General features: G+C 55.4%; 1 protein-coding gene across 58 annotated transcripts in view; it reads right to left on the reverse strand.

Moving 5' to 3' along the window:
* Window positions 1-24,482, reverse strand: part of RBFOX3 (RNA binding fox-1 homolog 3) — a 576,227-nt gene that overhangs the window by 156,220 nt on the left and 395,525 nt on the right. Inside the window, exon 4 of one of the 58 annotated variants that reach the window (NM_001385809.1) lies at window positions 19,126-19,329. The exons of 56 other annotated variants lie outside the window; for them this stretch is intronic. The gene's annotated coding sequence lies outside the window, so the exon portion shown is untranslated. Of the gene's footprint in view, window positions 1-18,839; window positions 19,330-24,482 lie in introns of all 58 variants that reach the window. One more of the 58 variants, NM_001385834.1, reaches the window with a different exon arrangement.

A 24,482-nucleotide genomic window follows, 5' to 3' on the forward strand; every position in this document is an offset into this window, starting at 1 on the left:
TGATATTCCATTATATGGATACACCACATTTTGTTTATCCATTCGTCTGTAGGTGAACATTTGGATTTTTTTTTTTTTTTTTTTGAGACACCTAACTCTGTCGCCCAGGCTGGAGTGCAGTGGCGTGATCTCAGCCCATTGCAACCTCCACCTCCTGGGTTCAAGCGATTCTTCTGCTTCAGCCTCCCGTGTAGCTGGGATTACAGATGTACACCACCATGACTGGCTAATTTTTGTATTTTAGTAGAGACGGGGTTTCACCATGTTGCCCAGGCTGGTCTCGAACTTCTGAGCTCAGGCTATCCACTCACCTTGACCTCCAAAGTGCTGGGATTCCAGACATGAGCCACCACGCCCAGCAGAACATTTTGGATTTTAATCCACTTTTTAAGACAATGAGAATCACGTCATTGGCCCCATTTCCCATTTTGCTTCAGCCACGAGCATGTCAGAAAAAAAAAAAATTGTTGCTCAACCTTACTGGTTGTATCAAAAAGCCCCACTGCCTCATTTTCCTGCCCTCTCTGTCTTCCATTGTCTGACCTTGACTTTTATCTGCTGACGTGCTTCCGTCTGATTTTATGTGGCTATGGCAATGGAAAACCATCTATAGAATGACATGGACACAAGCTGAAACGACCCTGCCTCAGGTCATTCTCCAAGTCCTCCCTGATGCCACAGGGGGCTGTGTGCCTCCGGGAGAGCCACCTTCCCTCCCTGCCTTGCAGCCAGGCACAGGGCACAGCACTGCATGAGAGGAACAGTCCCGCCCCCGACTGCTCGTGGACTGTGGGCCTTGGACACCTTTGGGCTTCCAGATTTCTTGGTCACCTCCTCTTGCTGGTGTCTGATTACGCTGAGTGGGCTGTTCTTCCTTCTACTGTGAACCTAAGGGAAGCGGAGTCCCTGTCTGAGCTGCTCTCTCCGGAGCTGGCGCTGCACGCCATATTCCCTCCAACACTCAGCTGAGACAGAGTTCAGCAATGATGGTGTCCAGATGGCCGTCCAGTCCCCACTTGGCTGCTGTCTGCTGCACCTGTCCCCCTGCTCCCGGGTGTGGAGAGCCAGCCTGCCTATGTTCACAGGCACAGCCGGGATGTCTCTCCTATGCTGGTGAGATCTCAAGACCCATCCGACATCCCTTGGAGAGATGGAAACTCTTTGAGACCTGAAGAGGCACCACCTCTCTGCAGAGAGGGATGTGGCTGGACCGAGGACGCGGCCTCCCAGCAGAAGTGTTGCAGGGGATGCTGGGTTTGGTCCTGCCCATGTGTGGCTGTGAGCAGTGCCAATGGGATGGGGGTGGGGGGAGAACGGCGGAGACAGGAAAAGGAGCCGAGTTAATACACAGGGCAGACGGCACCACTCAGCACGCAGGCAGCTGGAGAACGCCGGCTTCTTAGATGAGCGCGTTTCATTATCAACAATTTAGACATGTCCTTTCTCCTTTGGGAGATGGGCAAAATCTCATTTCCTGAGCAAATCCCCTAAGAAACCAACCTATTCATTCCTCTAAGATTTTCAGAAATCCGTCTCCATCAACCTACTTACAAAATAAAAGTAGCTAATAGGCCAAGTGTGCTGGAGGCTGGCTGCTAGAATGGCTGGTCTGTGGAGCCCACGGGAGCCAGCCGGAGGTCCTAAAAATGCCTAGGATGAAAGGTGGGAGATACAGCCAGCTCATCTCCCCACCCTGGCTGGCTTCGGTAATGCCACAGGTAGACACACACAGAGAACATAATCGTATTTTTTTTTTTTTTTTTTTTGAGACAGAGTCTCACTCTGTCACCCAGGCTGGAGTGCAGTGGCACCATCTTGGCTCACAGTAACCGCTGCCTCCCAGGTTCAAATGGTTTTCCTGTCTCAGCCTCCCGAGTAGCTGGGATTACAGGTGTGCACACCAAGCCTGGGTAATTTTTGTATTTTGGGTAGAGACAGGGTTTCACCATGTTGCCCAGGCTGGTCTTGAACTTTTGACCTCAAGTGATCCGCCCACCTTGGCCTCCCAAAATGCTAGGATTACAGGAGTGAGCCACCGCATCTGGCCCCCATGTTGTTTTAATTTAAGGCAACAACTAGATAAGCATTTGTAGAATTAGAGAAAAGCAATGCAGAGTTTTGCATCTGGGGAAAAATCACAGGGTGGGGCATCTCCACTCTTCCAGCTCCAGAGAAGAGAAGGCAAGGCAGGACCCTGGCTGTGCTTGGAACTTAGATCTGGCGGTTGATCCATGTTCTGAGTCAAGCTGGGATGGTTGGTAAACCTCCCATGGGTTACTCAACATCGAAGTGCCTCAGTTTACTCCCCTGTAAAAGCGGGGGTGACAGTAGGACCCACCTCTAGGTATAGGGATGAAAGGCAGCCCAACCCTTAGCACAGTGCCTGGCCCACAATGGGAGGAAACAGAGCCACCCTTAGCACAGTGCCTGGCCCACAATGGGAGGAAACAGAGCCACCAGAGGCAGTCACAGCAGGAGCTGCTCAGGGCTGCAGTGAGCTCCGGTGGGGAGACCCTGGGCTGTGGGTTTCACCCAAACAGGGCGAAGGGGCGGGGCTCTCCTCTACCTCCGGGGCACAGGAGAGGGAGGGACGTTTGGAACAAACCCCAAGAAGACTTCTGCACCTCTTGGACCCAAGTGATGAAAAGGCTGGTGGCTTTGTTTTGTGTGTGTGTGTTTTTTTTTTGGAGATGGAGTCTTGCTCTGTCCCCTGGGCTGGAGTGCAGTGGCGCAATCTTGGCTCACTGCAACCTCCACTCCCGGGTTCACGCCATTCTCCTGCCTCAGCCTCCCGAGTAGCTGGGACTACAGGCGCCCGTCAAGGGCTGGTGGCTTTGAAGTGATTAAAAGCCAGGTGTCTGTCCCTGGAAGGGTGGGGGGTCTTAGAGACTTTGGTGGGATTCACTTGCACCAAGATGCCTTCTACCCGGGAGGAGGCTCAAACCTGAATGAATGCAACGTCATTTCCACGTGTTAAACTGCACTCCCCAACCTAAGCTAGTTTCCCTGGGAGGTAACGATTTTTGAAACAAAACCAAGAGTAGCTCCCATGGGCAACTGTGGGCCTGTGCTTGGTGTCCCCCACAGTGACGGCCGGAGTGCTTTGCACATCTCCTCCAGAGGATTCTCACCCCACAACCCTATCGGGGGGTGCTTGTATCCCTAGGCACAGGTAAGGAGCTGAGGCAATGGGGGTCCCCGTTGACTCACTCTCTTTGGGGACTGAGGCTGGCAGGGAGTGTTGGGTGTTGCCACGCAGAGCCACTCAGCATCCAGCCTCACTTACCAGCAAGCTCCAGCTCCGCAGAGATTCTCCTTCTTGGAGGCCTCAGAGCTCTGCAGCTCAGCGGGCAGCTGGAGGCCCACATCCACTGCCTCTTCTGTGGGAGGGCCCCCGCCTGCCACTCGCCAAGCCCCCATTCTGAGCTGGGACCTGCCTCCATCGGCTGGGATGCGGTGCGGTCTTCCGCCAGCGGGGCCAGAACCCAGAGCGAGGCTGCCTCCCCTGGGTCGGCAACGCCACCTCGCTTCCTGCAGCTGACAAAGGACTCCTGAGGCCACTAACCCTTCCAAGCCCTGCAAAACCATCTCTGGAACCACCCTGAAGCTAGGGACTCGGCTCAGGAACTGCTGCTTGCTGGGGCGTCGAAAGCCAAGCGCGCTCAGGTCTTCAAAGCCACCGTTTGTGCTTGGGCTGCGGATTCTGGCTAGTGAGATGCTGAGCTGTGAACAAAGTCAGAGTCCACTCATAACCACCTCCCTCTGTTCCCTGTGTCTCGGCCCGCTCGGCTCCAATGCTGCTGCAGTCACCGTCTTTTATTCCCTGTATTCTGATGCTTTGACATCTGAAGCCTTGCTGGCCCTGGGGAGACGGCTCCTCCCAAAGTAGCAGATTCCGAGAGGCAGCAAACAACGGGCTTGGGGTGTGCTTTTTCACCTGCAAACCGGCCAACCAGATCCCACACCCCAAGCCCCTGCCTCTATCGGGGTCCCATGCTCCCGGAGACTGTTTACCTGTCCTAATCACCCCAGAGCCAGGTACAGACAATCAGATCCAGCCCCATAGCCCAGAGCTCACTGAAATGATCCAAACCAGCCAGCCCCAAAACCACTTCCCCTGCCTCGCCCGTTCCTTCCTAGGGAAACCACAGTCAAGACCCCTGCCCCTGTGAACCCCCATTCCCTCTGCCTCCCGACCAAACCTGGTACCTCCCTGTGTGTCCCTGATGCCGAGTTCCCTGTCTCTAGGGATCTGTCCCTAGATAGGCTTCTTCTGCCATGCCAGTCATTTCTGTATCTGTGTGTCTTTTTTACCCCATTAAAACAAATTCCAGGTATCCTTAGATCCCCACCAGCCTCACCATCCTAGCTGCACCTGCCGGCATCCCTGGCATCGCTTTGGCTCTTGCGAGAGGGAGCCAGTTTTAAGGATGAAACCGTAATGCTTCCCTGGTGGTAAGGAGTTCCTTAGCGCTTGGTGCAGCTCAGAGGCTGCTGGCTCAACCGGATTCAGAGTTTCCACTGCCACAGCCGCGTCAGAAAGACTATTACTGCTCAGCAATTGCCTTTCGGGATTAATACATCTTTACTCACATGATCAATTTCAGTCTCCTACTGGATACGGCCTCAGAAGTGAAATGTGAACATGGACTTCTATCACACCCATGTCCCGGTGAACGTCCATCTGCAACTAACCCACATTGACAAGCAGCTAATTTGCAGATTGTGCCTGTATCGACAGTTGGGTTTGTTTAATAATAGATAGTTGCTGTCTTCCCTGGGTTCTGTTCATGCAGAAGGTCTTTGCTGAGACGGAACACGATAAATTGCGAATGTGTTTACATGGACATTCCCAAGGCCCCGGGGCTCGTGGTCAGACTTTAAAGAATAATAAAAATAATTTTTGTTGTAGGAGGAGTTCCTGATGAGGGCGCTTAAATGAGCCGATCACTCGGCGTGGGCAGGAGCACCATGCAGGGAGACCCAGCCTCACTGCTTGGCCGATACTCAATGAACATTTGCCTCAACAGATAAACACGCTTGCTTGAGCTTCATATGCCCTCCCAGGCTTTGAGGACCTCTGATTTATAAAAATAAAGCAGCGTTGAGGTGCCACAGGACAGTATCCTCTGCAAGACTCCCTTCGGCAGCCACCCCTGTGCTTGGCTGTCCCCGTTTCTTTCTTCCTTTCTTTCCTTTTCTTTTTCTTTCCCTCCCTCCCTCCCTTCCTTTCCCTCCCTCCCTCCCTTTCTCTCTCTCTCTTTCTCTCTTTCTTTCTTTCTTCCCTGAGTTTCGCTCTGCAGTACAGTGGCTCACTGCAACCTCCACCTCCCGGGTTCTCCCAAGCAATTCTCCTACCTCAGCCTCCTGAGTAGCTGGGATTACATGTACGTGCCACCAAGCCCGGCTAATTTTTGTATTTTTAGTAGAGACGGGGTTTCACCATGTTGGCCCGGCTGGTGTCCCAACCTCAGGTGACCCACCTGCCTCTGCCTCCCAAAGTGCTGGAATTACAGGTGTGAGCTGCCGCGCCCGGCCTATCCCTGTTTCTGATGTGAGCTCAGCCTCCTCAGCAGCTCCCCTTCTCCCTTGTCCCCTTCTGGTCCTAGCCACACACCCTGGATGCTGTCTGTGCCCTGGCTCTATCCGCCACCCACCACCAGGAACTCCTGCATGTAGGTTTACAATCCAGATCTCTGGCACCTCCTAGATCTTACTACCTGGTTACTGGTGCCAACGTCACTCAACGTGTGGGACAGAGAACAGACGAGGGCCTCTCCCGAAACCTCCTCTACCGCTGCCCCTCCCAGTATAGTCAATGGCACTAAAGTTGATTCAGCACCCCCAAACTCACTGAAATTGATCCAGCACCCCTAAACTCATTGGAATTGATCCAGCATCCCAAACTCAGATCTCTGGGCACAACCCTTCCCCCTCCCTTGTCTCCAGTGCCCACCCAAGTTGCCTCTAGGTCCTATGCATTCTTCTTCCTTAACACCTTCTGTACCTGTGTGACCTCCGCTACCCACAAATCCACATGGCTCAGGCCCCTTCTCTTCCTAGAACATGGCGCGGCCTCTGAACTTGATCCTGGCTCAGAAACCCTACAGCTCCCACATCCAGCCTCAACTCAGTGGCCAGACGAGTCGGCTGCATGGCAGGTTCCGCCCCATTGTACACTTCACAGCTGCCCACAGGCTCAGGGAAGGTTCAAGACCTCTTGGCCTGGGGCTGAGGATGCCCACACCTGGCACCAACCCACCTGCCCACCTGCTTCTCCCTCGGCTCCCCCACCAGGGGTCTGCCCTCAGGCTGAGGAGAGCGTCTTACAGCTCCCCAGTGGCCGAGCTCACACTCCTGGATCCTTCCCCTCCCTGCCTGAAAAGACTGAGCCCTCTCACTCTACCCAGCAGCCTCTTACTCACCTGGAGACCAGGTGGCCTGAGCCAGCCTTGTCTTTCTCCATCTCTCAGCAGGGAATGAGTCTGCTGACCACGCCTCATGCCTCTGGAAGCACACTTTGTCCTGGGCTGGCCCACACCCTCCTGGTCTCCCCATGGCTCTGGCCCTTCCTCCTGCCTTTGCCTAGTGGGTAACTGGGCATTGCAGGGCCCCTTCTCCTTCCACCCTTTACTTTCTCCCCAGGCAACTTCAGAGGTCTGGCTTCAACCCGCACCCTGATGCCAGCAATGCCCACTCTAGCCGAGTTCCCTGTGGGTCCAACCTTTTGCTTCCCTTGATGTCTCCCAGACTGCTCTGTCCCACATGGCTGAGGCTCAGGGTCTTCTCCCAGAAACCTGGTCCTAGCTCAGTGGTCCCTATTTCAGTGAATGGATCTATCACCCGTCCAAGTGAGCAAGTCAGCTGGGGTCCACTCTGACCCTCCCTCTCTTCCTCCCCCATCCTCCAATCCATCATTGACTGTCAGTTTGACCCAAGGAGTTCGGGGGCCTCTAGAGGCTGGAACAGGGAGGCAGTGGACTCTCCCTCGGAAATGAGCTCTGATGGTTCCTCGATGGTAAACCAGTGAGGCTCCTTCCTGACTTCTGCCTTCCAGAACTGCAAGGCCACCCATCCAGCTCGTTTCAAGCCGCTACGTTTGTTTGCGACGGCGGCACCTAATGCGGTCCTCTTGGAAAGTTCTCAGCGTCACATCGCTCTGGCTGTGTTGACCACTCCCAGCCAACTGCCCCTCTCAATGCCCCTCTCCTTTCCCTTCCTTTTTGGGTCTTCATGTCCACAGAGAGTGAGGCGTGGACCCAGGCTTTCTGCCTCTCCAATGAGACAGGAGGGCAGGGAGCTGAAAAATCTCAAATCTGCCAACCCCACCCTTCCCCCTCTATCCCGCCCGGCAAGCCCCAGCCCCCTAAACCCGCAGCCTTCTTTGCCGTCTACACTCAGCAAAGTCAAGTCCCTCTCTGAGCAGCCTCTGCTTCCCAGATGGAGCCTCTGGCCCTGACCCTGCGGGGTGGTGCTGTGTGGGAAGGGGCAAGAAAAAGGAACAAGCAACGCTTGACAAGGCTGTTTCAGGTCCCCCTTCTTCTTTCAGCCCAAGTAGATCCTGGCGGCCGACAGACACCGCAGAGGGAGGTAACCACCACTCCTCCTAGCACAATGCATCTGGTGCTCCCTCAAGAGCTGCCAAAGCCAGACGGGGCTCATCTTTCCCCCCACCTCAAATACCTGCCCTTCACCACACACACATCCGGACACAAAGCCGGGGAGGACTCGAATTAATTTAACTTTTAATTATATTCACTTAACAAGATGATCCAGCTGAGGTTAAAAAAAAGTCTGCCTCCCCGCCCAGATGAAAAAAACCTCTTCTGTATCTATTTATATCCAGTATATACATAACCAGAAACGAATCTTTCTTTATGGACCATTAAAGATCTAATGTTTAATTTATAGCCACTTTCTCTGGCGGGGTATCCAGGCACAATGTCAACATTTTTAATTAAATGAAATTTTTTTTTTAAATCACAAAGGAAGATATATATTTTTAAAGCCACATTTGAGCCAGTGAGCAACAGCCCTGAGTTGCTGCTTCCAGGAGGTGCTGCTGGTTGGAGAGGGTGCCGGGGAAAGGGGAGACATCTCTGGAATTTCAAATCCCTGGCTGGCCAGTCTGTCTGCGGTTAGGGTGGCAGGGGTGTCCCCAGATGAGGGCATGGCAGTGTACCTAGCAGGGGAGGTCCCCAGCTGCTGTTTGTTGAGCACCTACTGTGTTTTGGGCAGTGCCCTAGAGGGTTTTCACATGCCATCATCTTTAATTCTCCCAGCAATGGTCCACGGGGTGGCCATGGGATGGGATTACCACGGAGGAAGCTCAGAGAGGTTGGACACCCTGCCTGAGGTCACACAGTAGCAGATGGATGAAGAGCCCATGTCTGGGTCCAGGTCAGGTTCCCAAACCTAAGCACTTTTCTCTTCCCCCACGCAGCCTCTGAGGGCGGGTATGGGAGGGAGCCTTCTCCCCAGCTGGTGGCAGGACTTCTGAGTCCTCCATGGTGCAAATGAAGTCACTGCAATGCCCAGGTCCTGGGCAGGGAGGCAAGTTCACCACTGCATCGCTAGCACCCAGGACACAGGAGCCTCACAGAAGTCATTTGCTGAGTTTTGCAGTTCATGAGAGTGAAAGTGATTTTCCAGAAGGTTCTCAGATGTCCTGGCTTCAGGGAGCAGGGCCCCTGAGGTCTGGAAGAGGCCAGCTGCTGCCCAGTCCTATTCCTGCCTCGTTCAGAACCCTGCCCACCCCGCAACCCCCAGGTGGCAGCAGGTGAGGAACCTTACTCCTGAGACCCTCAGCCCTAGCTCCACATACCCCCAAACCTGCCCCCCAATCCAGGACACATGGCACCAGGGCCCAGCCTTGAGACCAACCAGCTGGACTCTTGCACACTGACCTCTGAACATAGATGGAGGGAAGCCCTTGAGTTGCTAAGCCTGTAGGTGACCCTGACTGAGGGTTCTGGGGCTAGAGATGGAGCTTTGGGAAGCTGAGCCCTTGAACCCTCAGCTGGTGACCAGTGCTGGCCCCAGGGATCTCCCACCTGCTTGGGTTGGTCTTATGCCACCAGGGGCCACTTCTGAGCCCTCTTGGCGATTCGTATACTTGCCCCTCCATGCAGTGTCAGTCCAGGCTGTGAAAAACCCGCCCTGCCTGAGTGGGTGCCTTACCTGGACAGTATCCAGGTGGACAGGTGCCTTATCTTGGCTGGGCATGAGAGGGGTCCCAGAATGTCTGGAAGTGCTGGATGGCCCAGGTTATGGCCACTTGGCTATCACCATGGGCTGGACTCTCTAAGGACAACGTGGGGCTTCAGGCTGACATGCTGGGATTGGCAACACCCCAGACTCTTGCTCTAGGTAGGGCCTGGGGCAGGACTATGTGCCCTGAGCCCTCTATCCTGGGCAGGAACTGTGGGTCAGAGCGGAGGGCAGGCAGCTTGTCCTTGGGACCTTGCTGGCTTCCTGCCCCCAGGGCCTGTATCTGCTTGGCCTCCCCTCCTTAGCCAACTCCTTGACCCCTCAGAAACTTGACCTCTCTCCAGGCTTTTCCTATGGGGCCTACCCAGGCCACACCCCTCCCAGCCAGTCTGGTGCTGCCTCCAGGACAGAGAATGGGAGCTGAGTGGCCCTGTGGTCACATGTGTGCGTGTGTGTGTGTGTGTGTGTGTGTGTGTGTACTGGGGGTGTGGCATGAGGAGGAGCACTGGAGAGGGAGTCTGGGGTGACGGTGCCGTAGACTCACTATGGTGGGTCTCAGCCCGGTGGCTGAACATCAGTGACACCGTTGAGAGACACGTGGACACTTCAACATCTGCCCTGCTCTTCAAAGAAGTGACCTCACAGGGGCATAGTCCCTGTCACCATTCTCCACCCCAGAGCCCTGGCCCCCCATCTGTGCTCAGGAACAAGGCTGTGCTTAGGAACAAGGCTGTGTCCACCCTTGAATTGTCCAAGGGTGGAAATTAGAGGCAGCCAGAAGCCGAGGCTAGCATGAGCCAGCGGCCTTTAATGGGACACTCCATCTTCCCCTGGCGACCGCGTCTCCCAGGAAGCCTCGGGAAGCTGCTGAGTCAACACTGCATGGGCAGGGTGGCCGGTGCTCAGCAGCAGCACTGGGCCTGGCCTCCCAGTCCAGCTGATCACCATCCCGGGGGCACCTGCAGCTCAGGGGCAGCGTCCCTGGGCTTCTCCTCCTCCATGGCTGCAATTCCCCTTCCTAGAGGGGCCGCAGATAGGAAGACCCTCCTGTACATCCCAGGGACGGTGGATGTTGCTGGTGTAGGGACTGAATCGACACCACTTCTGGGACTCCTGTCTTCTGCTTGGGGCTGGGGATCCTGGACCCGCTGCCTGCCGAGCACAGAGGGGCACAGCTGCCTCCCCAGCCAACTCCCTCGGGGGCTTCCAAAGCAGCCATCCAGAAAATGCCTGGTCATAGTCCTCTAGGAATTTCTGGAGCTGTCTTCCATACCACCAACTTCCCTGGTGCGGACGGGAGGGGCTGACCTAGCAGTCCATGGTAGGGAAGCCCCAGCCCATTGTAAACCCTCCCAGCCCCGCCAGGTGTGCACCCCCGCCTTGCTCAACCTTCATCAGCTGTGGAGGTCAAGAGCCTCATCACTCCCTCTTAGCTCTGCTCCTTCCTGCAGGGAGGCACGCTTGTCTCTGGGGCTTCTATTCCCATAAACCGACCCTTCCTTTCTCATGTGAATCCACTTTAATTACAAAGCTAAATAACGAGAAGGAAATATTAAAATTAAAAAAAAATTCCCTACACATAGCAAGTTTGCTTGTGCCGGCCACCGGCTCCGGGAGCTGAAGCCCAGAGTGAGGATGGCACCACGCCACTCACTAAAAGCATGAGTGTCCCTAAATCAATAATTCATTTACTTTAATGAGATAAGTACTTTGAAAACTAATTGCAAACCTGCTCCATTTACTCCAACCTGCTACAGCCCTTAATGTAAATCGCAGAACCATGGCTGTGGGGAGGAGAAAGTCTTTAGGTGGAAGACACTGTGTCATCTTCCCCTTTCTTCTAAGAAAGGGAAAGAAGTTCTGCCAGGTACGGTGGCTCATGCCTGTAATCCCAGCACTTTGGGAGGCCGAGGCAGGTGGATCACCTGAGGTCAGGAGTTTGAGACCAGCCTGGCCAAGAAGGAGAAAACCCATCTCCACTAAAAATTCAAAAATTAGCCGGGCATGGTGGCGCACGCACCTGAAATCCTATCTACTCGTGGGGGGCTGAGGCAGGAGAATCGCTTGAACCTGGGAGGTGGAGGTTGCAGTGAGCCGAGATTGTGCCACTGCACTCCAGCCTGGGCGACAGAGTGAGACACCATCTCAAAACAAACAAACAAACAAAACAAAACAAAAAAAAAACAAAAAAAAGAAAAAGAAAAGGAAAGAAGTTCGTGACGCGGGTGGGAGGAATCTGGGGAACTGGTGGACTCCTGCTGTCTCTCCACCTGCCCTACCGTGAGGCAGCAGACGGGTCCCCTCCAGTATGAGGTTCGACTCACATCCTTCCCCTGGGAGAGAGGGTAGCACTGGGAAGCCGGAATGTGGCAGCACACACTACAATCAATGCCGGGAAGTGACTGTCCTGGGGCCTCCGGGGACTCCTGTGAGTCCCTCTGCCAGCAGGTGCTCTGAGCAGTCCTTCCCCAAGCCCCGAGCCCCGGGAGGTTTGTGCGGTTCCAGAGACACCAGCACAGGGATGCATGTTGTTAGGTGAGTTTTCAGTTCATGCTTTGGCAAGTGAAGTCCCAAAGGGTCCAATGTTCCAATAGCTTCCCCAGAATACAAACCCGAGACCAAAAAGATGCTCTGACTAGCAGGTGCCCTGAGGAGTCTGCTGCCAAGATGCTGAGAGCACAGCCTGTGCTGAGTGGAGGACAGAGCAGCAGACCAGGAAGCTGCTCACCTACCAGGGGTTTGGCCAAAGGGCTGCAGGGCCCATGGGGCCAGGAAAAGACACCTGAGTCCTTCTCACTGTTCTTTGCTTTTTTTTTCCCCCTCTGAGACAGAGTCTTGCTCTGTTACCCAGGATGGAGTGCTGTGGTGCAGTCTCAGCTCACTGCAGCCTCCACCTCCTGTGTTCAAGCGATTCTCCCGCCTCAGCCTCCCGAGTAGCTGGGACTACAGGCACATGGCACCACACCTGGCTAATTTTTGTATTTTTAGTAGAGACGGGGTTTCACCATGTTGGTCAGGCTGGTCTTGAACTCCTGAGCTCAGGCAATACACTCGCCTCAGCCTCCCAAAGTGCTGGGATTACAGGTGTGAGCCACCATGCCTGGTCTGTCCTTTGCTTTTGTTTTGGGAAAAAAAAATAAAAAAATAAAAAGCAATGATGGTACATTTTTCAGCTTCTAATCTTGTGGGGACGGGGGTCTCAAATCCTTCTTCTCTCTCCCCCTTTATCCCCTTCTCTCCCCACTGTCTCTCTTTCTGGTTTTTGGCCTCACTGGGAATAGATGCCAATGCCTACACAGAAGTCCAAGTTTGCTTCTTGACATTTTCAGGAAGAGCCTGTTTTAGAGATTATGACTCTTGGAAAATGCAGAAGAACCTATTTCTGCTTTGCTGCTAGACACTGGTTGGTCCTCCGCGGTGAATAGCTCAGCTAAACCAATCCAGCTCTCAGGGCTGACCCAGTGCAGGGAGCACCACACTGACAGGCAGTCGCAGCACCAGACAGCAGCCTCCAGTGATACGCCGCAGACACAGAGAAAGGATCTGAAACGGATTCCCGCTTAAATCTCAAACCCTACTCAATACTCCTGTACTGAGGTGAAAGCAGAGGATAACATCTCCATTCCTCAGAACCCACCAGGTGTGTTGCCGTGGACCACAGTCAAGGTTGCTGCTGTTATGATTCAGCATTTACTGAGCACGGGAATGTGCTGGGCCAGCCCTTCCCACGGGGGTCCCTGTCTAAATGGAACACAGGTTCCCCAGCCTGGATGGAGCCAGGACCACTAACGACACTCAGGGGTCAGATCCTGGGCAGACTAAAAGGAGCTCTAGAGCCTCAGGGCCAAGGGAGGGTGGGACAGGGAACGTGGCGAAGTTCTTCTCAGGTGCACCCAGCAAGAGAGATGGACAGGCCCTTTGGAAGATCAGGAGGCAGGGGCTGGTTGGTGGGGGGTGCACTCACAGCTGCTGAAGACCCTGTTCAGGAAGGGCTCATCTCCTAGTGGGAATCCCACCCTCGCCACACCATCCTCCTCCTGCTCTGCCGATGACAGAGAGGGTCCTGCACCTGGGCCACCTTGTACTTGACCCGGCTATCACAGTCCACCTGCCATGGCTACTCGATGCCATGTCGAAAGGCGCCGTCCCAGCAAGTCTGGCCCCAAAGCTGCCCTGCTTTCTCAGCGCTTGCTAGAGGGAAGCCTGCTCTTTCTAAGTGGCTGCAGCTGCTTTTGCAGAGTCGCTTATCACTTGCAATCCCAGCTCTAAGTCATTGCTCAAAACCAGAAATGTCAAAATTCTCTTTCCCTTATAATTCTGCCCTTCAGGCTAAACTGTCTGTAGGGATGACGACAGCAGAGCACTGGTGGGTACTGAATGCTGTTTTTCTATAGACCCACTTTTCTTCTCCCTGAAATACTGACCCAATACGCAGCTGGTGTCTGGCCCACCTGGCATCTGTGGACTCTGCCCCAGGGGCTGTGCTGTCCTCGGGTCGAGGGTGGAGCAGGAGTGGGGAGTGGGCACAGCACCGATCTCGGGTAGGGTCCACCTGCAGGACCCGCAGCCCTGTGGCAAGAGGGTGTGTTCTGGGGTCCCTGCCCTTCCGTGGTGAGGGCAGCTGCCTGTACCCCAGAGGCGAATGGGAAGGTGAGGGCAGGGGCAGGAGGCACCAGAGATGGGGTCATCGCCAGAGAAGAGCTCTCCTGTGTTCCTGAGAAGACAAGCTGCAAACCAGCTGCATCTGGGAGGCAAGGCCTGAGGAGGGAAGGGAGCAGGCAGGACTCTGGGGGCCCAGGTGAGATGGCGTTGCCTGGGACCGCATGGAAGGGAAGGCCACTCAGCTGATGCAGAGGCAGCTGGGAGGGGGCTGAGAGCAGGGACCTGCTGGTCAGTAGACCGGGCTCCCTTTGCTGAGCCTGGCAATCCTGCGTTCCCCGGGAGCCAGGAGACGCAGGGACAGGCTCGGTGTGGCCTGGGTGTCTAGGTGCCCCCGCATCTCAGGGTCACAGTAGCCGCAGGGGCTCTGCAGCAGGCGCCATTCTCAGTACTGGGCAGCATTTTCCCTCTCTCTCTCCTCCCTGAAGAGGCCCGTCTGAGCATTATCCCTCTTTTGCAGATGAGGAAACTGATGCTCAGATATGTCAACTGTGAGTGCAGCAGGGATGTGAATCCAGTCAGGTGGGCTGGGCAGCCAGATGCTGAGCCCCTTCCTGGCCGCTGACTTTCCCTGGGTAGAGTGAGGACCATGGGAGATGGTCCTCACACCCCTGGTGTGGGGAGCCCTCTGGACAGGTAGAGTGCTGTCTGCACATCCCTTATTGTCTAGCCAGCACTTACTGAGCACCCCTGGGCCTGGCCCAGCCCATCGGCCACCTGGTTTAATCATCAAATAAGGAGGTACAGGGGGAGGTGGAATGGGAGCCTGCCTTGCCCAGACCCTCACACCCCTCCCCACTGGCTAGCTGTCGGGGACCCCCTGCCCTGCTGAGGCTCAGCTTCTCCCAGGGCCCCTTCCCACAAAGCAGCCCCATGTGCCGGCACCTGCTCCCTGCCACAGTGGATCCAGCACTGTCTGTGGCCTCTGCCCCACACGTTCTGGGCCCTGAGTGGAACCCAGATGGGGTCTTGTTCTTTCCCCTGCACCTTGGAGCTAGGAACCCTGAGAAGAAAGAACGTGGCCTGAGAAGGGCCCCAGAAAGAGCCACGAGGTGCCCACAGTGCACGCCAATAGAGCAGAGATGCCACTGGCACCTCCACGGGTGAGGGGTCAGCTGCTGGGGCCAGGCCCGTGCCCCTAACTCTGAGGGCAGCACTGATGGCCAAGGCCAAATCCAGAGCCCCAGGGGTGGCCCAGAGAGGTGTGGCCACACTGGCCTGAGGCTGAGGACACAGCCAAGCTGCAGCCAGCTTGCCCGGCCTTGGGGCCTGATGGGAATCCGACGCCCCTCCCCTGGGGATAGGAACATGGCCAAGGAAGACGCTGTAAAGTGCGAGAAAATGGCATGTAGGAGAGGATTTTCAGTCCACATCACAGAGCAACTCCAAAGTCCTTTCCCAGCTCTGAGGCCCACCAGCTCTGGCCGACTGCCAGACTCTATCACCCTCCACGGGCCGCACACTGGCCTCCTCACTGGCCCTGGCACCTGCCGGCACACTCCACCCAGGGCCTTTGCACCAACTCCAGCCTCTCCCCTACCATCCATGTGTTTCCCTCCCTCCCTCCCGTCCTGGGGCCGGGGCCTCTCCCCACCCTAGCTGTTCCTCGCTTGCCTTCGATCTTTGCCCAGATCCTTTTTCTCACCTCAGTAAAGTCAAAGCCTTCATACCCCTACACCCCTCCAGTTCCCACCCCACGGCGTTCGCTCCTCGAGCCCCCTACAAACATACTCATCTGTTCCCCCAACTGCCCATCTCCCCTATTGCAATGTAAGCACAACAAGAGATTTTTATCTGCTTTGTCTCCTGATGTACACACTGATGTGTCTCCAGAGCCCAGGACAGGGCCTGGCACAGAGCAAACAATAAATATGTGTGAGTAAATGAAGGAGGGGGCACGAGCACCCCGAAGCCACATGCACAGGGTCTCTTTCTTTTTCCTTTCCTTTTTCTCTCCCAAGACCCAAGACCTGCTTTTCTCTTGCAGAAAGTGGTGTTCTGAGGGGCATGGAGCTCCTTGGAAGGAGCCGGAGGCAGAGGATGCAGGTGGAGGCGCTGTACTGCCACAGTCCCCCAGGAGCCTCCCAGGCCTGTGCGGCTCTCTCTCCCCGGCACAGGATTCCCTGGAGGGCTCTCCACAGTGCAGAGTCAATGATGCGGCAGGTCTGGGGTGGTGGGGGTGCATTTCTCACAAGGTCCCAGGTGACACGGAGGCTGCTGGAGCAGGGGCCACCGTCTGAGCAGCAGCTCGCACACAGGCGGGTGGGCGGCAGGACCCTCCCTATCCCATCCCGCACTGGTCGCCACGGGGACCTTGGTGTGAAACCAGGATGAAGGCTGCACACCCCACGCTTCCCCTGTTCACACAAGAGGCCCCCAGAGCGGCTTCCCCTCCTGTTTCTTGGCAGCTTCTGATGGAACCCGAAGAGGGGAGGGGAGGACTTCAGGTGCTCACGGCCGGCCCCGCGGAATTGTGGGTTTGCCTTTACTGGGGCTTGTGGAGGGGGGAGGCGTACGAACACCTGCAATATTAATGCAGATTGCTGGGCATCGGGATCCTTCACACACTCCAAAACTTTGCTTTGAGTTCCTCTGAGATTCCTTTTGAGGTTTGAGATTCCTTTTGAGATTCTTTTGAGTTATTTGAGTAACTTTGAGATTCCCTTTCTCTGCCTGGGCTGTATGTTAAACCAAAACCACTGCTCTGGAAAAGCCTCTCGTGGCCACAGCTCTGTACACACAATGTGGCTAAGCGGCGGCCAGGCCAAGCCCGAGATGCGGCGGTTCTGAGCCTCAGCTTCTCCATGGAGGCTCCCACAAGCCCAGAGCTCTGCAGCCAGGGGCAAGTCCCGCAGCCATGGGGGGCCCCGGACAGGGGCTGTGGGTAGGAAAGGGGTGGCCAGGACTGGCCTGGGAGCCAGCCATGACCCTGCGCAAGCAGATCCCACTGAGGGGACACGGTCCCTCTCCTTGGTTTCCCTGCCAGGACTTGCACATTTCTCTGTGAATTCCACCTCGGTCGTTCTCCTTTGAAGAACAATCGATGGGTAGATCTCCACTGATCACACAGGGACAAACTGATTAGGATCCTAAATTAGATCAGTGCTGCTGTCTGCTCAGAGGGCAGGACCCCTTAATCCTATTCCAGTCTCAAGAGGTGGAGGGAGGCCCAGGCTGGTGGGAAGGGCTGTGGGCCCTCTGTGCAGGCTCACGGTGCCAGCTGTGGACAAGCCCACAGGCAGGAGTGGAGCTACGGATCTGTGGCTGCCCCGTGTGCCCCACAAGGCTGGAGTCCATCCTTACTTGGGGCATGAGGACAGCCAGGCCAAGACTGGTCCAATAGTATCAGCTGCTCCCTGTTGGATGGAAACCAACCCATATGCCTTCAGCCATGAGCACTGGGGCAGCCCCAATAGGGCGAGGCTCCTTCTTGCTTCTTGGCTGCAAAGCGCCAGCTCTGGTTGCCTTCTCCTTGTTTCAGGTGGCCTGGCTGCCAAAGCTGTTGGCAGACACTTGCTGGGCTGATGAACTCTGCAGGTGAGGCTGCAGCTGGTAAGGCCTCAGCTGCCTCCCCCGGGAGAACTTGCTCTTGGCCACTCTGGGTTGAGGCGACTTAGCTGAGCAGGCCCAGGCCTTCAGCTCAGGCAGGGTAACTCGCCCAGGCCTAGCGTGCCCCTCCAGGGTCCCAGGGCCCCGCGAAGCCACCCTGACCCAAGTGGATGCTGGGGTACCCCCCCGGCTGTGCTGCCTCCCCCAACCTTTGGAGGGCTCAGGCTCTGGAAACACTCAGGCTAGAGGGAGAACACAGCAAGGGCAAACTTTTCGTGATTTCTGCTCTTTCCTCTCTCCCGGCCCAGCATTGGGAAGGTGGCCAGCACTTTTAAGGAACAATCCAAGTGAACGCTGGTATTTTACAGGCACTTTGTAAATTCTGCAGCACTTGAAATTTATGTGATTTGTTTGGAACGCTGGAAGGCACGTGGAGTTTCTGCGGACACAGAGGCCTTCTGCCCCTGGTCAGGTTTTTACCAGTCGTGGCGGGGCCCTGGGCCCTGGCTGGGAGAGTCCCGTGCTGCTCGTGGCAGAAGTCCTGGGAGTGGCCACTGGAGAGGAGGCAGGAAGGCAGAGGCTGCCCCAGCTCATCGTGAGCCACCCCCACCTGCTCTCTAGGGTGGCCAGGTCATATCCACCTGGAAGGCAGACCAAATGCCACCACACCCCCTCTGCCCCGAGCCCAGGCTCCATGAGAGCTAGGACTCTGCGTGTTGTTGCCTAGAACGGTGCCTGACACACAGGGGGCAGCCAGCGAATGGCTGGATGAACGCGCGCTTACGAGGGGCAGAACGATGTCCCCAAGAAGGTATGTCCAGTCCTAACCCCCAGAGCTGGAATGTGACCTTATTTGGAAAAGGATCTTTGCAGATATGACTAAATGAAGGATGATAAAATGAGATCATCCTAGATTTAGGGTTAGCCCTAAATCGAATAGCGGTTGCCTTTATAAGAGAAAGGAGGGAGGCTTGAGACACACAAGGAAGAAGGGCTCGTGGAACCAGAGGCAGAGATTGGAGAGTCAAGGAATGCCTGGAGCCCCTAGAAGCTGGAAAGGCAGGAAGGACCCTTCCCTAGAGCTTTGGCGGGAGCGCAGCCCTGTTGGCATCTTTTTTTTTTTTTTTAAGACGGAGTTTTGCTCTTGTTGCCCAGGCTGGAGTGCAGTGGTGCGATTTCAGCTCCCGGATTCAAGTGATTCTCATCCCTCGGCCTCCCAAGTAGCTGGGATTACAGGCACCTGCCACCACACCTGGCTAATTTTTGTATTTTTAGTAGAGACAGGATTTCACCATGTTGACCAGGCTGGTCTCGAACTCCTGACCTCAGGTGATCCATGTGCGTCGCCCTCCCAAAGTGCTGGGATTACAGGTGTGAGCCACCAAGCCTGGCTTTTTTTTTTTTAAAGACGGGGGTCTCACTATGTTATCCAGGCTGTCCTCGAACTCCTGGGCTCAAGCGATTCTCCTGCCTCAGCCTCCCAAGTTGGTAGGATTACAGGCAGAAGTCACTGCACCCGGCTCCTGCTGACATCTTGATTTTAGACTTCTGGGCTCCAGAACAGTGAGAATCCATTTCTGTTGTCTCATGTCACCCAGTTCGTGGTCATCTGTCACAGCAGCCCCAGGAGACTCATCCACGTGCTCTGGTCTGGAGTTTAATTCTAGCAAGAGCAGATTCTCCTCATAGCTTCCCCAGTTCACCCACCTGATGCTGTTTCTGTTTTCCTCCCTGGGACCTTAGCAAGCATGGGCCCGGGGTACAGTCTCTGTGATTGGTGGGTCCTGTGTATACTGCCAGAGGCGGTGTGCCCCACGAACCGGGCCTCGACTTCCCCATGTTCTGTGCCTTCTCCTTGGCTCCTGCCCCCGCTGGAAGGTTCTGCTCCCCTGTACGGTTCTGCAGGGCAAGCTGGGTGAGAACATGGGGAAGTGTCCGGCATTACTGCCACGAATGCCCTTGGAGACCCTCAGTGCGAGAGGAGGGGGGGGGGGCGCAGATTTGTGGCGATCATAAAAACTGCATCAAACTACTACAGAAAGCAGCCCATGCAGCTCTGTTCCAAGCAGACTTTCCACCACCTCCCCTGCCAGATGCCACGCTCGGCAGTGACCACAGGGTGAGCTGGGCAGAGGCAGTCCAGCCCCCCGTTCCAAAGGACAAAACGCAGAACACAAACAGTTCCAAAGAACAAAACCCTCTCACCACCCTTCAGCCTGGAGGAATGCTGGAAATGAAACCAGGTTTCATGAGCTTGCTCCTAAGTTTTTAAATGTAATGCCGTGTCCTCCCCGAAGCCGGCCCTGGGGGGCCACAATTATTAACTGTCTTCAGGCGGTCATGGGGAGCAGCTGGCCTCCGGGGCTCCCACAGCCTCCCGCTTAACGAGGGTTTCACCGGCAGCAGCTGACACTGTCCTCTCTCTTGCTTTTTCCTTTCCCTAATAGTCTCTCATGAAGGACCTCATCAAAAGCTTTTTGAAAACACAGGTAAATTATGTCCACTGGGCTGCCAGAAGGACTGCCACTTTATTAACTTTTTAGAGCACTCTGGAGAGTTAGAGAGTCTGATTTCCTTTTAGATATGTGTAGCAGTTTGACCTTATTACCCCTGGGCACGCGGGTCTGTAATTTCCAGGGTCTCCCAGGCTGATGTTAGCGACTTTCCAATTTCCAGAAAGGGCTTAGTTTCCGAATGCCTTTCAAGATCACTGCTATTTTATACTTTCTAATTCCATTAGGTGAATTCTCTCCCATTCCGGAGATTTAGTGGGCTGGGATTTTGCAGGTAAGCTTATAACCTGCTTCCTGAGAGCCTGCGGCTGGGCAGGCCTGCCAACTCTGGGCAGGTCGTGTCTACCGCCAGCTCCAGGTGACTTTGGACAGGTGGCTCAGAACTGGCTTGGGGAGGGGGCCCCCACAGAGCTCAGGTCAAGAAGGCTCATGGCACAGCATCCAGACTGCTTAGGCAGCAGGAATTTAAATTTATACAAACACTGTGTAAATCCATTCCCGCTGTAACAGACCTAGACCAGAGCTGACTTTTCCCAGAGGGCTGCTCACCCGGACCGGGCAGGTGAGACTGTCTGCTCCAGCCTTCCCGCCCCTCTCAGCCTTCTCTGGGCATTGCCCTGCCCTCCTTCCTTTGATTCCAATGGGAAAAGACCCTGGTTATAGCAGCCTGTTCTCCCATGGCAGAAACAACCTTGAATGAAGTGAGCAAGTTTCCTGTCTGGCCTGGCCTCCATCCCCAGCTGATGTGGGAGCCTGGACTTCTTGGCACATTCCCCTTGAGGACATTTCAGCCCCTTGAAGGGAAGTGTCCTCATCCTCGTGGTCCAGGCACCTTCTCACCTTGTTTGCTTCAGCTTCTGATTTACCTGCTGAAGTCAGTGCTCCGCCCGCCCATCTCATCCAGCTGTGCTTTCTGTGTTCTGTTGGGACTGTTCCTTTTCTTAGGGGGTATTATTCAGAACTGGGTTGGAATTGTTTGCTAAGTTTCTGTGTTCTGTGATTTGACTTTCAGGAGGGCTGTTACTGGGCCGGGTTCCCAACGCGGAGCTCCCGAAGTGCTTGGAATTTCCCGTGTGCCAGGACGGTCTTTAGAAAGTTATGAGATGACTCTTGGTGGCCCCTAGATAAGATAGCTTCAGAATGGGAGCTGGCCCCAGAGACACCAACTTTGTGATTAGAGGGCTGGGACTTCAGACTGGCTCAACCTCAGGAGAGGGGAGGGGGCTGGAGATGGAGTTCAATCAGGTGTCCAGTAATGTCATCAATCATTCCTACATAATGAAATCCTGATGGAGAAAGCTCTGGGCCCCTAAGTGTGGTGGAGCTTCCTGCTTGGCGAACACGTGGGTGTGCCTGGAGAGTGATGGGGTGAGGGCATAGGAGCTCCGCGCTCCTGCTCAGACCTCACCCTCCCTGGATCCTTTATAACAAAACTGGAATCATTTGCATGCCACTTTCTTGAGTTCTGTGAGATGTTCTAGCAATGACTGAACCTGAGGCGGTCATGGGAACCCCAGAATTTGCAGCTGGCTGGTCAGAAGGTGGGTCCTGAAACTAGGAGCTGGCTTGGAAGTTAGGGTGGTCTTGTGGGGGACTTTGCCCTGCACCTTGGAGTCTGAGGCTGACTCTGAGCAGTGAGTGGCAGAATTGCACTGAAGCCCACCCACTTGGGGTGGGGGCAAGGGGGCATCACACCAGATGCAGACCTTGCTGGCTCTGGGCCCTGTGCCATCTCTCAGCCTCGGTTGGGGAGTCATACTCTTTGGCGGGTCGCTGAAACTTTAGGGCCTTCAGTGCCTCCCCTTCAAGCTGATGGTGATGGGATGGATGATCTCCAAGTTCTGTCCAGTCCTGAAATGCTGTGACCCCGAGCCAAGATGCCCATGTCACTCTCTCTCTTTTTTTTTTGATTTGAGATAGAGCCTTGCTCTGTTGCCCAGGCTGGAGTACAGTGGCGCGATCTCGGCTTACTGCAACCTCCACCTCCTGGGTTCAAGTGATTCTCCTGCTTCAGCCTCCCAACTAACTGGGATTATAGGCGCATGCCACCATGCCCGGCTAATTTTTGTATTTTTAGTACAGACAGGATTTCACCATGTTGGCCAAGCTTGTCTTGAACTCCTGACCTCAGACGATCCACCTGCCTCAGTCTCCCAAAGTGCTGGGATTACAGGTGTGAGCTACCAGGCCTGGCCCCATGTCACTCTCTATGGAGGAAGATGCCAGAGCTCATGGCCTTGTTGTCTGGGACCTTGGCTGACACCATTCCTCTCAGGGAGAGACCTCCTGAGTCATGGAGAAGCCCAGGAAGGGTCTAAGGTGTGGAAACCTGGGCGTGTCAACTGGCAAGGTAGAAGGAGGAGGAGCTAGGAACGCGCAAGGCAGAGAGAAAAGGACGGGAAGGAGGTGTCTCTCCAGCCTAACTCTTGATGGCTCTGGGCTCTATCCACACGATTTCTAAAATGCCTTCCACTTTTTATACCCCCACTATAGAATTCAACCTGCACATGTCAAAAATGTCCTCGGTCTCTGCAAATTTTCCCCTTCTCCAGGGAGTTTTCACCTCTTTCAACCCTCCGCATCATCCGTTGTCTCTCCCATCTCCTGGAGGCGGAGTAGATGCGTTTCCTGGCTGCCGTGAGGGGCAAGCAGGGAGAGTGGCTTCTCGTCTGCGAGTCTGCGAGGGTGTCCCCTGTGGGGAGCATCTGCTCAGGACTGGCGGGTTGCAGACCATCTAGCCAGACCCTGGCCACCCTCAGGTTGCCTCTGTAACCGTCCCAGTGTTTCCCAGCCCACCTTGCCTCACCTCCCATTTCATTCCAGAAACTGCCCCTACTCAAAAGTTCTCCCCTGGGCATGACCGACATTGCCTCTTGATGGCTTCCCCATGGGTCTGAGTACCACACTCCTGACCACAGAGGCCAAGCTCAGCCCCTTCCTCCAAGACAGACCTTCTGGCCCTTCCTCAGCTGGGGTGCTGCTAACTCTCCCGCTGCGGGTGGGGACGTCTCTTCTGCCCTCTGAGCTCCAGCCACAGTTCCCAGGCCAGTCCTCTGCCATCTTCATGGGAAAAGGAAGCTGATCTTCTCCTTTGTGACCCCAAGCCCCTGGCCTGCACATCCTCCTGGACTCCCTTCCCCCAGGAAAAGCCACACTCATGCCCTGGCTGACTCCAGCCCCCGTGTGATGACCCATGGCTCTGGCATCCCTCCCGCTCCCTGACTTCCCACACCTTCACTCCGCTCCCCATCTGTCCCTCTCCAGTAGCCCCCGGACCTCATCCCAACCTGTGCTGCCCGCTGCCTGCCACCCTCTTTCCTCTTTCTCTCATTCCTGTTCCTTCCTCCCACAGAGGACATTGGTCCTGGGCCTAATTAGGACAGCTCAGCCATTGCTCCCTGAAACGTCTCCCTCTCACCCCCTTGTCTTCACACGCCTCCTTGTCCAGCTTAGCTGTTGTACTGGGGTGTCCCCCCAAATTCATGTCTACCTAAAGCCTCAGAATGTGACCTCATTTGGAAATAGGATCTTTGCAGTTAGCTAAGATCAGGTCAGACTGGACTGGGGTGGGCTTTACATCCAATCACTGGGGTCCTTCTGAGAAGGGGAGATGCGGACACAAAAGATAGAGACGTGCAGGCACACGCCAGGAAGAAGGCATGGGAGGGCTGAGGCAGAGATTGCAGTGATGCTGTCCCCGCCAAGTAATGCCCGGGGTCCCAGGAGCTGGAAGAGGCCAGGATGGATCCTCCCTTAGAGCCTTCAGAGAAAATGCAGCCCTGCCCACACCCTGACTTCAGAGTCCTGGCCTCCAGAACTGGGAGAGGAGGCATTTCTGCTGTTGAAGCTGGGTAGTTTATTACGGTGGCCCCAGGAAACTCACACAGACGCCAGGACTCAACCATCCAAGAAGTCACAGGTCACTGTCCAGGACTCCTCGCAGGCAGCAGGTGCTCAATGAATATTGGCCCTTCCCACTCCTGCCTCTGAGAGCTGTGGGAAAAAATTCCCCCCTTGAGGATCACTACCCTATAAACACACCTTCTCTATTGTCACCTGGCCCTCTGGATCCTCCTCCCCGTCTCCCTGGGGATCGTCCCATCCACACCTTCTCTGTTCTCCCCCTACCTGACTTTCTGCCGGTGACCTCCCCTCCTGTTCCACTGTCAGCTCCCTGCACCCCCCACCTCTTTTCTCCTGGCGGGGCCTGGGTCTTTCCTCTCCCTTGTCTGTCACTGTCCTCTCTCCAGTGTCAACACCCTGTCTTTCCTTGCCATTAGCATTTAAATGCTGGGTTCCTTTCCATTGTAAACATCATCACAAGCAAGCCTTCCAGCAAGGTGAGCCCCACCACTGCCCTCATCCACCTGCAAACTCTCCAGCAAAGTGAGCCCCGCCATTGCCCTTATCCACCTGCCCACACTGCCCCTCCCTGTGCCTGCCCTGCAGCATCTGGGGTGGGGACGCCACTGCTGCCCTCAGGGCCTCTGCTGCTTCTCCATTCAGCGAGCATCTGTCTGCCTTCTTGGCTTGACCTCTCCCCCTCTGCGA

The sequence above is a fragment of the Homo sapiens genome, chromosome 17 (assembly GCF_000001405.40).
Source record: "Homo sapiens chromosome 17, GRCh38.p14 Primary Assembly".
NCBI lineage: Eukaryota > Metazoa > Chordata > Mammalia > Primates > Hominidae > Homo > Homo sapiens.